This window comes from Homo sapiens, chromosome 11, assembly GCF_000001405.40.
Source record: "Homo sapiens chromosome 11, GRCh38.p14 Primary Assembly".
NCBI classification, from domain to species: Eukaryota; Metazoa; Chordata; class Mammalia; order Primates; family Hominidae; genus Homo; species Homo sapiens.
The window spans coordinates 129,971,286-129,985,864 of record NC_000011.10 but is presented as its reverse complement, the minus strand read 5'-3'; the positions used below and the strand labels follow the sequence as shown (position 1 = coordinate 129,985,864).

At 47.1% G+C, this 14,579-nt stretch overlaps 1 protein-coding gene across 10 annotated transcripts in view, besides 1 other annotated feature; it reads left to right on the top strand.

The window, feature by feature from the left end:
• PRDM10 (PR/SET domain 10) overlaps nt 1-14,579 on the top strand; it is a 103,125-nt gene that overhangs the window by 16,971 nt on the left and 71,575 nt on the right. The gene's annotated exons all lie outside the window — the stretch shown is intronic.
• Nucleotides 13,760-14,307: an enhancer, noted in NCBI's record as "H3K27ac-H3K4me1 hESC enhancer chr11:129841453-129842000 (GRCh37/hg19 assembly coordinates)". NCBI's record gives its function as "activates a minimal SCP1, AML or CMV promoter by ChIP-STARR-seq in naive H9 embryonic stem cells {active_cell/tissue: H9 hESC(naive)}" and the evidence as "EXISTENCE:reporter gene assay evidence [ECO:0000049][PMID:30033119]".

Below are 14,579 nucleotides of genomic sequence, written 5' to 3'. Positions count from 1 at the left end.
ATTAAAGAATTTCTTTTATTACTATATATACATATATATATATATATATATATATTTTTTTTTTTTTTTTTTTTTTTTTTTTTTGGACAGGGTTTGTCTTTGTCACCCAGGCTGGAGTGCAGTGGCACAATCTCGGCTCACTGCAAACTGCCTCCCAGGCTCAAGTGATCCTCCTACCTCAGCCTCCTGAGTAGCTGGAACTACAGATGCATGCCACCACACCTGGCTAACTTTTTGTAGAGACAGGGTCTTGCCCTACTGACCAGGCTGGTCTCAAACGCCTGAGCTCAAGCAGTCCTCCCACTTCGGCCTCCCAAAGTGCTGGGGTTACAGGCATGAGCCACTGTGCCCTGCCCAATACCATATTTGACTTACAGTGCGTTCTTTGCATTCACAAAGACTGGTTTTGATTTTGTGTGGCTTGGGAGCAGCTGAGTTCCATGTCCCTTGACAGTTGTATTGTACGAGATCATGTCATCTATCAATTGCATTTTCCCCCCATAGTGTTGTTTGTTCTTTTCAGCTCATTAAAATTCAGTTATAAACATTGAGATATATATACACATATCTATATATATGTATGTACACACACACACACACTTTCTTAGCTGTGGAACAGTTAAATACCATTATTTTTAATGGCAATACTGTTTTTTGTTCATGAGAGTTCATCCTAAGAGGGTTTTGGGAAGTAACAAATTAGCTCCTAAGCAGAAGACTGCACTATATTCATTCCAGATGGCCTCCTGGGCCGGTCATGGTTGCAGGTGCTGGGGACACTCCCTCATCAGCTCCAGTGAGGTGATGCTCCTGCAGCGGCCTTCCAGCAGGAGGACAGGTAGTGCACACATACTGAACTCGCCTAACTGACGGTAAATGCTTTGCAGAGTATTACAGCAGAATCCCATGAGAAAGGATGATCAAAAAAGCCTACTGAGGAGGTAGCATTGACCCTGAGATCTGGATAATGAGAAGGAGGTAGGTGGTGGACAGTGGCGGAGAAAGCATCCTCGCAGAGGAGATGGCTGTTGCCACCCTAAAGGCTGGATGAGCGGAAGGAGAGTTTGAAGCCAAAAACAAGAAAGAGGACCCAAGAGAGCCCAGCAGCGCGACCTGTGGAGGTCAAGCCACCAGAAGAGGTTGCAGAGGTGTTGCCAGGGAGATGGGAGAAAAATCAGGAAGGCGTAGTATCAGGAATGAAGGGAAGAGATTTGCAGAGGGTGTGAGTGCCATGTGAGGTCAGGGAGGATGAGAGCTGTGGGGGAGCGCTGGATTTTGCAGTAGACACTCTAGAATGTGCCGTCTCAGGGAGTGGTGGGGATAGAAGCCCGAGTAGGGTGGGCCGAGGCCGAGGCAGGGAGGGGACAGTGAGGCCGTGGGGCTGGACTGCAGGCCGCGCTGCAGAGTTTCAGTGTGTGCTGCAGAGTCTCAGTGCATGTGGGGAAGAGCAGACAGATGGCAGGTAGGTGAGCAGGAACGCGGGCTCAAGGGAAGGTTTTGTTTAATGTAAAGATTTTGTTGAAATATAAGTCTAGAAAAGTACACAGTTTTTTATTCTAATAAAGATAGATTCTAGCACATGCTAGCTGGTGCGCAGAGAAGGCCTGGAGGGTCCCAGAAGGCCTGGTGCCAGCCACCCAGTGGGAAGGCCACCTCCGCTGAGCGAGTGCGGTGAGGACAGGGTGCTGATGTGGGAGCTGAGGGAATACCTGCCTGAGGGGCTCTCTTTTCCCAGGGAAGCGTGAGGCATCAGCTGGAGTCAGGATGGTGGAGGGGAAGCCTAGGGGGAAAGAGGAGGGAAAGGAGTAGTCCTTTTTGGAGACAAGAATCCAAAGTTCATTCCAAGGCAGAATGGGCGTGGGAGCCAGTGTTGAGTGCTGCTTTGAGATCAGTGGTCCTGAATTTGAAGGGAGATCCGGCAGCATTCATGTCGGGTTCCCTCCGGTGTGGGTATGGCAGAGAGTCGGTGAGAGGACAGTGGTCACAGGAGGGAACATAATGGCGGACTTCGGAATCTGATTCAATAGCAATGTTCATGTTGCTTTCCTCTAGGCTACCTTGAGGAGTATGTTCTTCTTATAGTTTAGTCTAGTGCCATACTTAGGAAGTGGGAACAAAGGTCTCTTCAGTTTCACTCCTTTCAGTTAGTCTATTCCATCCTAAGCCTTCTCCTCTCCTGTATACACTAAGCTAACTCTGGAAAAATTACCTCACTAGGAGTGAACCATTACAGTGTAATATTTTGTCAAAATAAAAATAGATTTTTAGGCCGGGCGAGGTGGCTCACGCCTGTAATCCCAGCACTTTGGGAGGCCGAGACCGGCAGATCACAAGGTCAGGAGATCGAGAGCATCCTGGCTAACACGGTGAAACCCTGTCTCTACTAAAAATACAAAAACAAAATTAGCTGGGCGCGGTGGGGGGCACCTGTAGTACCAGCTACTCGGGAGGCTGAGGCAGGAGAATGGCATGAACCTGGGAGGCAGAGCTTGCAGTGAGCTGAGATCGCGCCACTGCACTCCAGCCTGGGTGACAGAGCGAGACTCCGTCTAAAAAAAAAAAAAAAGGAGAAATAAAAAGATTTTTAGACCAGGCGTGGTGGCTCATGCTTGTAATCCCAGCCCTTTGGGAGGCAGAGGCAGGTGGATCACCAGAGATCAGAAGTTCGAGACCAGTCTGGCCAACATGGCGAAAACTTGTCCCTACTAAAAATACAAAAAATTAGCTGGGCGTGGTGGTGCGCACCTGTAATCCCAGCTATTCGGGAGGTTGACACAGGAGAATCACTTGAACCTGGGGGGCGGAGGTTGCAGTGAGCTGAGATCGTGCCACTGCACTCCAGCCTGGACGACAGAATGAGACACTGTCTCAAAGAAAAAAAAAATTTTTTAAAGACTTTTATTTTGAGACAAGGTCTTGCTTGTTGCCCTGGCTGGAGTGCAGTGGTGCCATCTCAGCTCACTGCAACTTCTGCCTGTGAGGCACAAGTGATCCTCCCACCCTAGCCTCCTGAGTAGCTTGGACCACTAGGTGTGCACCACCATGCCCAGCTAATTTTTGTATTTCTTGTAGAGATGGTTGGGGGGAGGTCTTGCCATGTTGCCCAGGCTGATCTTGAACTCCTCAGCTCAAGTGATCCTCCCACCTTGGCCTCCCAAAGTTCTGGGATTATAGGCGTGAACCACTGCTCCTGGCTAAAAATAGCTTTTTGATTATTAAGAAAATACAGTTTGAATACCATTGAAAAGTATTCAGAAACCATCAAAAGTTATAAAGATGTAAAGTTACTCAAATTTAACTTTTCAAAGGTAACCGTGGTTAACATTTTGGTGACTCTTCCCTAAGACATTTCTTTGTGTGTGAATGTATATGTATCTTTCTACATCATAAATAATTAAATTGGCGAAACCTCGTCTCTACTAAAAATACAAAAAATTAGCTAGGCGAGGTGGTGGGCACCTGTAATCCCAGCTACTTGGGAGGCTGAGGCAGAAGAATTGCTTGAGCCCGGGAGGCAGTGGTTGCAGTGAGCTGAGATTGCACCACTGCACTCCAGTCTGTGTATACACACACACGCGCGCACACACACAGACACACACATTTTTTTGAGACAGGGTCTTGCTCTGTTGCTCAGGGAGAGTGCAGTGGTACCATCACAGCTCACTGCAACCTTGACCTCCCAGGCTCAAGCAGTCCTCCCACCTCAGCCTCCGGAGTAGCTGGGATCACAGGCACATGCCACCACACCCAGCTAAATTTTTGTAGTTTTTGTAGAGACGGGGTTTTGTTATCTTGTCCAGTCTGGTTTTGAACTCCCAAGCTCAAGTGATCCACCAGCCTCGGCCTCCAGAAGTGTTGGAATTATAGCTGTGAGCCACTGCACCTGGCCATATTTTATAATTTTTTTATGAGGATAAAAAAGAAAATTTCCATCAGGGGAATATTTATTTATTTATTATACTTTTTTTGAGATGGAATTTAGCTTTTGTTGCTTAGGCTAGAGTGCAGTAATGCGATCTCGGCTCACTGCAACCTTCACCTCCCAGGTTCAAGCAATTCTCTTGGCTCAGCCTCCTGAGTAGCTGGGATTACAGGTGCCCGCCACCATGCCTGGCTAATTTTTGTATTTTTAGTAGAGACGGGGTTTCGCCATGTTGACCAGGTTGGTCTTGAACTCCTGACCTCAGGTGATCTACCCACCTCGGCCTCCCAAAGTGCTGGGATTGCAGTCATGAGGCACCGCACCTGGCCCATCAGGGGAGTATTTAAATAAATGATTGGCACATCTGTACGTTGAAAGCAATGAGATTACTGCAGAGACTTTCAGTGTCTGAAAAGGTGTCCACAGCATACTGTTAAGTTAAAGTATATTTCTATATTTAAGATAATGGAAAAAAAAGTATGATTACATTTCTCCATGAGTACATTTGTATATAAAGACAGCTAGTTTATGTGTGTTGTGTTTATATATGATAGATCAGTGGAAAGACAGACACTAAAACGTCAGCAATGGCAATATCTAGGGAATGGGTTGGGGTGGGAGAGAGGGTAACTTTTACTTTTTATTTCAAACAATTCTGTACTGTCAGAATTTTTCCCCGATTCACTGTTTTTTTAGCGTACTTATAGGTATGTACAACCATCATCACAAACAATTTTGACACATTTTCATCACCTGAAAAAGGAACATCATAGCCCGGGCACAGTGGCTCACGTCTGTAATTCCAGCACTTTGGGAGGCCCGGGCAGGCGGATCACCTGAGGTCAGGAGTTGGAGACCAGCCTGACCAATATGGTGAAACCCCATCTGCACTAAAAATACAAAATTAGCTGGGCCTAGTGGTGCGTGCCTGTAATCCCAGCTACTCGGGAGGCTGAGGCAGGAGAATCAATTGAACCTGGGAGGAGGAGGTTGCAGTGAGCCAAGGTCGTGCCACTGCACTTCAGCCTGGGCAACAAGAGTGAAACTCTGTCTCAAAAAAAAAAAAAAAAAAAAAAAAAAACCAGAAATGTCATACCCTTTAGCTATCTCTCCATCTTCCCATCCTCTCTTGACCCTAAGAAATCACTAATCTACTTCCTGTCTTTATAGATTTCCCTGGTTTGGACTTTAAAAATAAAATATGTGGTCTTTTATGACTGGCTTCTTTCACTTAGCATAATGTTTCAGAGTTCAGTTATGTTGTAGCATGGATCAATACTTTGTTCCTTGTTGTGGTCAAATAATAAATATTCCATTGTATGGATATACCACATTTCGTTTATGCATTTGTCCACTAATGCCACGGTCCCCAACCAGGACTTGTTTTGTGGGAGACAATTTTTCCATGGACAAGGGGTTGGGGATGGTTTTGGGATGAAGCTGAGAATCTAACTAATGCCTCAGATCATCAGGCATTAGTTAGATTCTCAAAAGGAGTGAGCATCTTGATCCCTCACATGCACGGTTCACAACAGGGTCCCTGCTCCTATGAGAGTCCACCGCTGCTGTTGTCCTCCTAGGCCACAGGACTGGTACCTGTGTGCGGCCCCGGGGGTCAAGGTCGGAGACTCCTGCATTAATTCACACTTGGGTTGTTTCCCCCTTTTGGCTATGATAAATAACACTGCCATAAACGTTGTGTCTAAGTCTTTGTGTAGATTCATGTTTTCCTTTCTCCAGGGTCTGTACCTAGCAGTGGAATTGCTTGGTCGTACGGTAACTATGATGTTTAATTGTTCCAGGAACTGCCAGCTTGTTTTCCAAAGTGGTTGCACCCTTTACCTTCCCACCAGCAGCCTGTGAGGGCTCTGATCTCAGCATATCCTGGCCACACTTATGTGACTTTTTGATTCAAGCCATCCTAGTGCATGGAAAGTGCATCTCATTGTGGCTTTAATTTACATTTTCCTGGCAACTAAATTCCATTTGGAAGTAAAATCAACACAGTTTTAGTTAGGGGACATATGCCTAAGGAACTGAAGGTCGGAAGGGGCTGCCGAGAGGCAGAGAAGCCTGCAGAGCTCCAGGTGATCTCCTGGGGCGGAGGAGGTAAAGGATGGGCCTGAAGGGCTGTGAAGGCAGTTAGAACAGGAGGGGCAGAATCCGAGGCCAGGAAGGGATGGGGACGTGCAGTTAGAACAGGAGGGGCAGAATCCGAGGCTGGGAAGGGATGAGGATGTGAGCCTCAAGTCCAGCACTGGTTTCTCCTCGAGAGCTTTGCTTACCAGACTGTGCTGGTCAAAAAAACAAGTCAAAACACAGTGGGATAGAAGAGCGGGGTTTTCAGTAGTTTCAAGTTGCTGGGGAGACAGGAACTGGAGTAGAAGATCCACCAAGGAGAGGGACCTCTAGGATGCACCTCACAGTCTCCCTTGCAACCCTGGAAGGTCACACCCTGGAGCTGACTGAGTCTTACAGTCAGAAAGACTGCAAACCAGCCTCAGGTGAGCTCCGAACTGCGCTGCTCTGCCCTCTGCAGCCCACCAGAGGCTGGGTGGATCCTGGGGAGGATGGTGGGTATCCTGGGGAGAGGGCACAGGAGCTTCTGGGTGTTAGTGGAGTTCTGCTCCTCGAGCCAGAGGCATTTCCTCTGAGAGCAGCTCTCAGGTCGGACGCTTAGGATTTGTGCAGTTTTTTTGCAGGCACGTGCTGCACTCTGGTGCTTTGAGGTTCCCACCTACTATCTTGTGAGGATAGAACAGAGAACTCCTGACAGATTTCTTTGTGAAATTACCTTCACATTTTACCAGCCAACCAGCTGCTACTCTTTATAAAAAGAAAAAGGCAAACATCAAGGTTTATCATTCTTTAGAACTCGCACTGAATGTTGGTTCCTTTTGAACTCTCAAGGATTTTCATGTAGGATTGTCGGGCTAGGACCCCCAACAAGTGTCTCAGCCTCATGTTTCTTCGTTCTGAGTGAATGGCAGGAGCCCCTTTGAAGCACCTGATGGGGCCCTGATGCATCGCTAACAAACTCTCAAATGGGATGGGAGGATCGGTCTTTGTTTTTTGGTACATGAAAAGTTCTTAATTGAATTAGGGAAAAGTCCACATTTCTTGGGTGAACATGAAGAAAGATTTGCTTGCGTGCCTACTTGGAGGCATGAAGAAAGGTGTGCCACACCCTGATGGGAAACCTGAGCTGATAGTCTCTGCAGCCCTTTGTGCACAAGGAAAGTAGGAGGCATTACTGCCTGGTGTGAAGATTTCTGCATGGGAAGTGGCAGGGCAAAGGGACACTTCATGGAGAGGGAGAAGCAGGCGGAGGTCACCGTCTCAGACCTGCCCGACGGGCTTCACTGCTGGACTTGTTTCTGTCATCCTGTGTTTTCTCACCCGGTTGGTTGGTTTTGAAGCCTTGAAACCTTAGTTCAGTTCTCTTCTGGTTATACAGTATCTTCCTTGATGACAGCCAGAGACAAGTCAGGAACATTTCTTTAGGACATGCTACACACTAGGTTTTAGACTGTAACACATAGCTCAGTCTCATATCAGAAGCATGACTTTCTCTGAAATGTATCTGCCATTGCTCACCCAGTTTCTGAAGGCTTTTTTGGAGTTTTTTCCCAGTGGCATAAACTCACATCATCTGGAGGAGTCCTGTGCCTTGGAGCTTCCAGAGCTCCATCATGTGCCTCACTGTCCACACTTGAAACAACTGGTCAATGTGAGTGGCCCCTAGACACGCCTGGAGTGTCCCAGCATTATCACAGCCTCATTTCTTTTATCTTTATCTTCAGACCTCTCTGTTTATGTAGAAATACCCCACATCCATAATGGCTTAACCGAAAAGCAAAACAATTTTATTTGGAACCTAATCAAAGGCTTATTAGCTTTTCTTAAAAAAAAAAAATTGTTGAAATCCTTTATGAAAGCCTGGTTTTCCTGCTTTCTTTCTTTCTTTCTTTTTTTTTTTAAAGACAGGGTCTCTCACTCTGTCGCCCAGGCTGGAGTGCAGTGGTGCGATCTCACCGCACTCACTGGAACCTCAACCTTCCGTGCTCAAACGATCCTCCCACTTCAGCCTCCCGACTTAGCTGGGACAACAGGTGCACACCACCATGCCTGCCTAGTTTTTTGCATTTTTTGTAAAAGTGGGGTTTCCCCATGTTGTTCAGGCTGGTTTCGAACTCCTGGGCTCAAGTCATCCACCCTCCTCATGCTCCCAAAGTGGTGGGATTATGGGCATGAGCTACCGTGCCTGGCCTCCCTGCTTCTTTACTTCAGTTCCTCAGGCATATTTCCCCTAACTAAAGGTACGTTTAGTTTACTTCTTAGTGGAATTAAAAAAAATGTTAGGCTGGGCGCAGTGGCTCACGCCTGTAATCCCAGCACTTTGGGAGGCCGAGGCGGGCAGATCATGAGGTCAGGAGATCGAGCCCATCCTGGCCAACATGGTGAAACCCAGTCTCTACTAAAAATACAAAAATCAGCTGGGCATGGTGGCGGGTGTGTGTAATCCCAGCTACTGGGGAGGCTGAGGCAGGATAATCGTTTGAACCAGGGAGTCGGAGATTGCAGTGAGCCGAGATCGCGCCACTGCATTCCAGCCTGGCGACAGAGTGAGACTGCATCTCAATGTGTGTGTGTGTGTGTGTGTGTGTGTGTGTGTGTGTGTGTGTGTATTTTAGTCATGTTATTCTGCTCCAATTTCTAGGCTTTAGTAGCTCTTTAGCTGGGGTCACAGTGGTACGATAAGAGGGGCACTGTGCTCTGTCTGCTGGAGGGACTCAGGCTGGCCAGACCCTGGACAGTGGAATGAGCAAGTGACGTTGCTGTCTTCTTTCTCTGTAAGGTGTAGAGAAGAAGGCCACCTTGGCTGTGTCACGTGGTGGGGGTGAGGGGCACGTGAAACAGCATCTGGGAGGGCTCTTGGAACGAACCTTGCCAGGCAAGGTCAAGGGAGTTGTGTTTTTCATAACTAGTCATTTTTATCTTTTCTCAGGAGTGCTAATGGTTGGTTGTTAATCTTTTAAAATTTGAGAAACATGTTATGGAGGATTTGGGCTTCCCCATCTCATATGGGGATTTGTGCTGGAATTTGTATTATTTTGTTATTTGTTCATCACTAATTCTGCTGCCAGTTTCTATTCACCATTTAGAACTAAGTCCATTATTTTTTCTTTTCTGAGTTCTAAAATTATTTGTTCCAGCAATCAGTTAAATGGAAACTCTCTCCTTCTATTACGTTCCTTCCAAGTGAATGAACATAATAGAAGCTCTTTATTTTCATTCTTCTTGGTCTGATTTTGTAGCTCTGTGATTTAATGTGACATCTCTCAGTCATGTGGTCATCAGCAGCTGCTCGGAGTAGAGCACTAGCTTATTGTTCTGTGCTGTCATTTCTTTTCTGAACATAAGTTTTAAACAACTTCATTGAGTTGTCGTGACCATTAAATGGACTGAACTGATGAATGTTAGCTGCTTAGACCAGGGCCTAGCACACGGTAAGCACTCAGTGCATGTTGGCTGTCCTCACATCCCGTCCCTCTGATGGGTCCTGTACCTACTCTCTTCCCCTTGGCCATGCTTGAGGACACAGTGCCAGAGCGACAGCCTTTGCTTGATGGTGGGTTCTAGTTGGCCAGTGGGGTATGGAGTTTCACAAATCTTGTATAAAGGGCATGGAGCAACACCCAAGGTGAATCGGGTCAGAGATCCAAGAAGGAAACCTAGAATCAGAGCCTGAGAGTTTATGCTCAGGAAGCCAAGGGGTGGGGAAGAAGAGGAGCAGCTGGAATAGTCCACAGGATGGCCTGTGCTGATCAGGCCTCTAACAGGAAGAGACCCATTGGTGAACTGGACAGGACCTTCCATGTCACCCTCTAGTTGCTCTGCTTCCCTTCACCCTGAGAAACCTTGGAGATACCATGCGTGGATGAGGTACTGTAGGAGACCAAATATCATTGCCTCTTCCCCATGACCCCACCTCTAGTACAACTAAATACACCAGCTTAGGAAGTGGGATAGTGAGACTGGGGTTTGATAGCACACTGGCAATAACAGCAGTCACTGCTATTGATTGTTCACCTCCTATGTGCCAGGCACCTTGGAAGGCACTTGGTGCAGCCACCCTGTTCCAGGAGCAGTGACTGGCTCCCAGCACTTCGAGGGCGGTGGGTTGGAGACCAGCTCTGCTGACCTGAGCTGGGAGAGAGTGCAGTGGTGGCAGGAAGGGAATGGTGTCAGTGTGGCTGGGCAGAGGAAGGGCCAGTGGGAGGCAGGGTTTGCCTTGAATGTGGGCAGTAGTGGCCCTGGGGTGGCAAGGGTTTATTCATTGTCATGATGGGAAAGGTGCCAGTGAAGTCCCATTCCCACCATGGGGGAGTGGGATGGTCATTACTACCAGGGCCATCTCCAGCAGTTTTTATTTACGTTTTTTATAGCAGTAAAATATATACAGAAAGTGAAATTTACCGTTTAACTATTTTTAGGTGTAAATTTTTTTTTTTTTGAGATGGAGATTCGCGCCTGTTATCCAGGCTGGAGTGCAATGGCATGATCTTAGCTCACTGCAACCTCCGCCTCCCCAGGTTCAAGCAATTCTCCTGCCTCAGCCTCCCGAGTAGGGACTACAGGCGCCTGCCACCACACCCGGCTAATTTTTGTATTTTTAGTAGACATGGGGTTTCACTGTGTTTGCCAGGCTGGTCTCGAACTCCTGACCTCAGGTGATTCACCTGCCTCGGCCTCCCAAAGTGCTGGGATTACAGGCGTGAGCCACTATGCCCGGCCTAGTGTAAAATTTAGTGGCATTAAGTACATTCACATTGTTGTGCACCCATCACCATCACCCATTTTCCAAAGTCTTTTACCCCAAGGAAACTCCATCCCCATTGAACAATAACTCCCTGTTCCCCTGCCCTGGCCCCTGGTAACCACTGTTCTACGTTCTGTCTCTGGAGTTGCCTATTCCAGTTACCTCATGTAAGTGGAGCCATACGTTACTTACCCTTTAACGTCTGGCTTATCTCACTTTGCGTAATGTCCTCAAGGTTCCTCCCTGTTGAAGCATGTGCCAGAATTCCCTTCCTTTTTAAGGCTGAATAATATTCCGCTGTATGTACAGACCACAGTTTGTTGACCCATTCCTCAATGGATGGGCACCGTTGGCATTTTGAAGAGCAGCATATCGGGTACTTTATTGAGGTGCCGTTCGTGTCTTCAGGCGTCTGAGAATGGTGGGCGCCCAGCAAGTGTCCCCATATCCTGGTCCTCAGATGTAACTGTGGAGTGGATTTCAACTCAGGAGGTCTTGCTCATGGGAATGATCTTTTAGACTCTTCCACTGTCACTTCTAATTCCTATCTAGTTAGCTCAGAACAATCTGATTCATGTTTCTCTTTTCTTTAGTTTTTCTTTCTCTCCCTCCCCCTCACCTTCTACTTATTCTGTTCACTGTTTATCCAGTTCCTTCTTTCTTAGACTCTTCCCCACTCCCACTCCATTTATTCCTCTTGTCCTCTCATGTCATTTCCTCTAAATGTTATTGCTCTCTTCTGGAATACTCTTTTTTCCTTCTGTTTTTCCATTGCTTTCCTCTCTTTTCTTCTCTTTCCTTTTGTATTCCTTTCTTTCCCCTAGTTTCTTCTTGCTCTACCATTTAAAATTTGTGTCTCAGAAATGACCCTGGTCATTATTTCTTTCATGTAACATATATAAGTGCTTACCATAGTCTAGCCTCTGTTCTCAGCACTTTGCAAATAATATATCATTTAGTCCTGTTTACACCTCTATGAAGGAGATACTGTTCTTGTCTCCATATTACAGGTGATAGAGTTGAGCCACAGAGAGGCTGGGCAATTCGTACCAGGTCAGCTGCTGGTGAGCTGGAGGCGGGGCTGGAAGCCGGGCTGGGTGGCTCCAGTGGGTGCCTGGCCCCTCCACTCTGCACTGCTGAGCGCGCTGGGAATGCAGAATGCTGGAATGCCTTGAGCTAGGCAAGGCAGAGGAATGTTGTAGTTCAAAGTCAAATCAAACATAGTTCTTGTCCTACCTAGCTCCAAAATGTTTAGAATTTTGGATGCAAGTCTTCTGGATACAAGTCTCATCTTTATATCTACATAAGAGTCTTCATCGATGTTTTATCTTACACTGTTCTGTTTCTTCAAGTACCATGATTTTTTTAAAAAATCGTTTCATCTCAATTATAGAGCTGAAAAGGGACTTTGATGAGCTTATTTCACAGAGGGGTAATTGGTATGTCTAAATGCATTTAGTTTTGTTTCCTTGCTTTTTTAAATCACCGACATTGTAACAGATGGTTGCTTAAATTTTTATTTTATTTCAGCGTAATTTATTTCAATTTAATTATGAGTAAATATGCTTTTCTATTTTTCTGGGAATCAAAAGATGGTGTGTAACATAGTTTTAAAGGGAGTATACATTCAAAATGTCATCAAATAAATTAAAATCTGCATCTGGAATTTAATTCATATCTAAGTTGTCTTTTGTCTTGTGCCAGTTCTTGCTGGGAAGGTTCTACCTTGGTGCCTCTTACCTCATTGGTTTCCTTAGCTCAGTTATGCAGGTCCTCATTCATTGCCAACTAGCTTAACTTAATTCACTGGTTTTGGTTCACAGACCTTGAACATTTGCATAGAACTGTTAACAGACATTGCTTAATTTTCACCACTTTTTACCCTAGCAGGTTGCTAATTTGGGCCTTCCTGTGACACTGCTTTTCTCCTTCACTACTCTGCATCAAGCTTTTCTTTGATATGTGGTTGTTATTCGGAGCTTTTATAATCTCATAGGATTACTCTAAAATTTTCAAAGTGGGTATTTTGTAATGAGCTAATTTGTATCCTAGAACTTTTATCTTAGACAAAAGAAAGAAAGAGAAAATACAAATAAAGGAAGAAAAAGGCGCTAAAAAAGTGAAAAACATTTTTGTAACAAGGAGGGAGGGCTCGTCTCTTGCCAGGGGACCACCTTCAAAGGCCTGGGTTTTTGAAGGACGAGTTTTATGTCCAGATCACTGCCCTCTCGAATCTCATTAGCTCTTAAACAGAGGCTGCTGACTTTGCTGGACTATTGTGATGGCTGGTAAAGCACTTTTCCTTGACTTGGGCTACAGAGTGCAGGACTGTTTCTCTAAGCGGGCAGTCAAGGGCCACAAGCTTAAAGAAAGAAAGACAAAGCTAAGATAAACAGTGTTATGCAGAATCAGGAATCTCTTGTTGAAGACTCCTCTAAATCCTTTCCATGATCAGTCCTGTGGCCACACTGTGACCTGGGGTAAGAGTGTTAGAAGTCTCAGCCTCTGATTCTGGTGTTTCCTTTTGCTTGCTGTGAACTTGACGTGATTTTATAAAATAGAAGTTGTTCTAGATGATCTGTTCTCAAACTATGCTCCCTAAAACACTAGTGTTCTAGAGCTGGACAGAGGTGTCTTTCATTTAAGAGAAATCAAGGATAGAATTTGTTTAATTTTGAATTTTCAGTCTCACAAATTTTTGTTAACTCTTTGTTGCTATTGTTGCCAGTCATTTTGAGAGGTGACAGCGTGCTGGCAGTCCCCAGAGCCCTCGCTCGCTCTCGGCACCTCCTCTGCCTGGGTTCCCACTTGGGCGGCACTTGAGGAGCCCTTCAGCCCACCGCTGCACTGTGGGAGCCCCTTTCTGGGCTGGCCAAGGCCAGAGCCAGCTCCCTCAGCTTGCAGGGAGGTGTGGAGGGAGAGGCGCCAGCTGTAACCGGGGCTGCGCGCGGCGCTTGCGGGCCAGCTGGAGTTCTGGGTGGGCGTGGGCTTGGCGGGCCCCACACTCGGAGCAGCCAGCCGGCCTTGCCGCCCCGGGCAGTGAGGGGCTTAGCACCCGGGCCAGTGGCTGCGGAGGGTGTACTGGGTCCCGGCCCACTGGCGCTGCACTCGATTTCTCACCGGGCCTTAGCTGCCTTCCCGCGGGGCAGGGCTCGGGACCTGCAGCCCGCCATGCCTGAGCCTCCCACCCCCTCCGTGGGTTCCTGTGCAGCCCAAGCCTCCCCGACGAGCGCCGCCCCCTGCTCTACGGCACCCAGTCCCATCGACCACCCAAGGGCTGAGGAATGCGAGCGCACGGCACGGGACTGGCAGGCAGCTCCACCTGCAGCCCCGGTGCGGGATCCACTGGGTGAAGCCAGCTGGGCTCCTGAGTCTGGTGGGGACGTGGAGAGTCTTTATGTCTACCTCAGGGATTGTAAACACACCAATCAGCACCCTATGTCTAGCTCAGGGTTTGTGAGTGCACCCAATCGACACTCTGTATCTAGCTGCTCTGGTGGGGCCTTGGAGAACCTTTATGTCTAGCTCAGGGATTGTAAATACACCTATGGGCACTCTGTATCTAGCTCAAGGTTTGTAAACACACCAATCAGCACCCTGTGTTTAGCTCAAGGTTTTTGAGTGCACCAATGGACACTCTGTATCTAGCTGCTCTGGTGGGGCCTTGGAGAACCTTTGTGTCGACACTCTGTATCTAACTAATCTGATGGGGACGTGGAGAACCTTTGTATCTATCTCAGGGATTGTAAATGCACCAATCAGCACCCTGTCAAAACAGACCACTGGGCTCTACCAATCAGCAGGATGCGTGTGGGGCCAGATAAGAGAATAAAA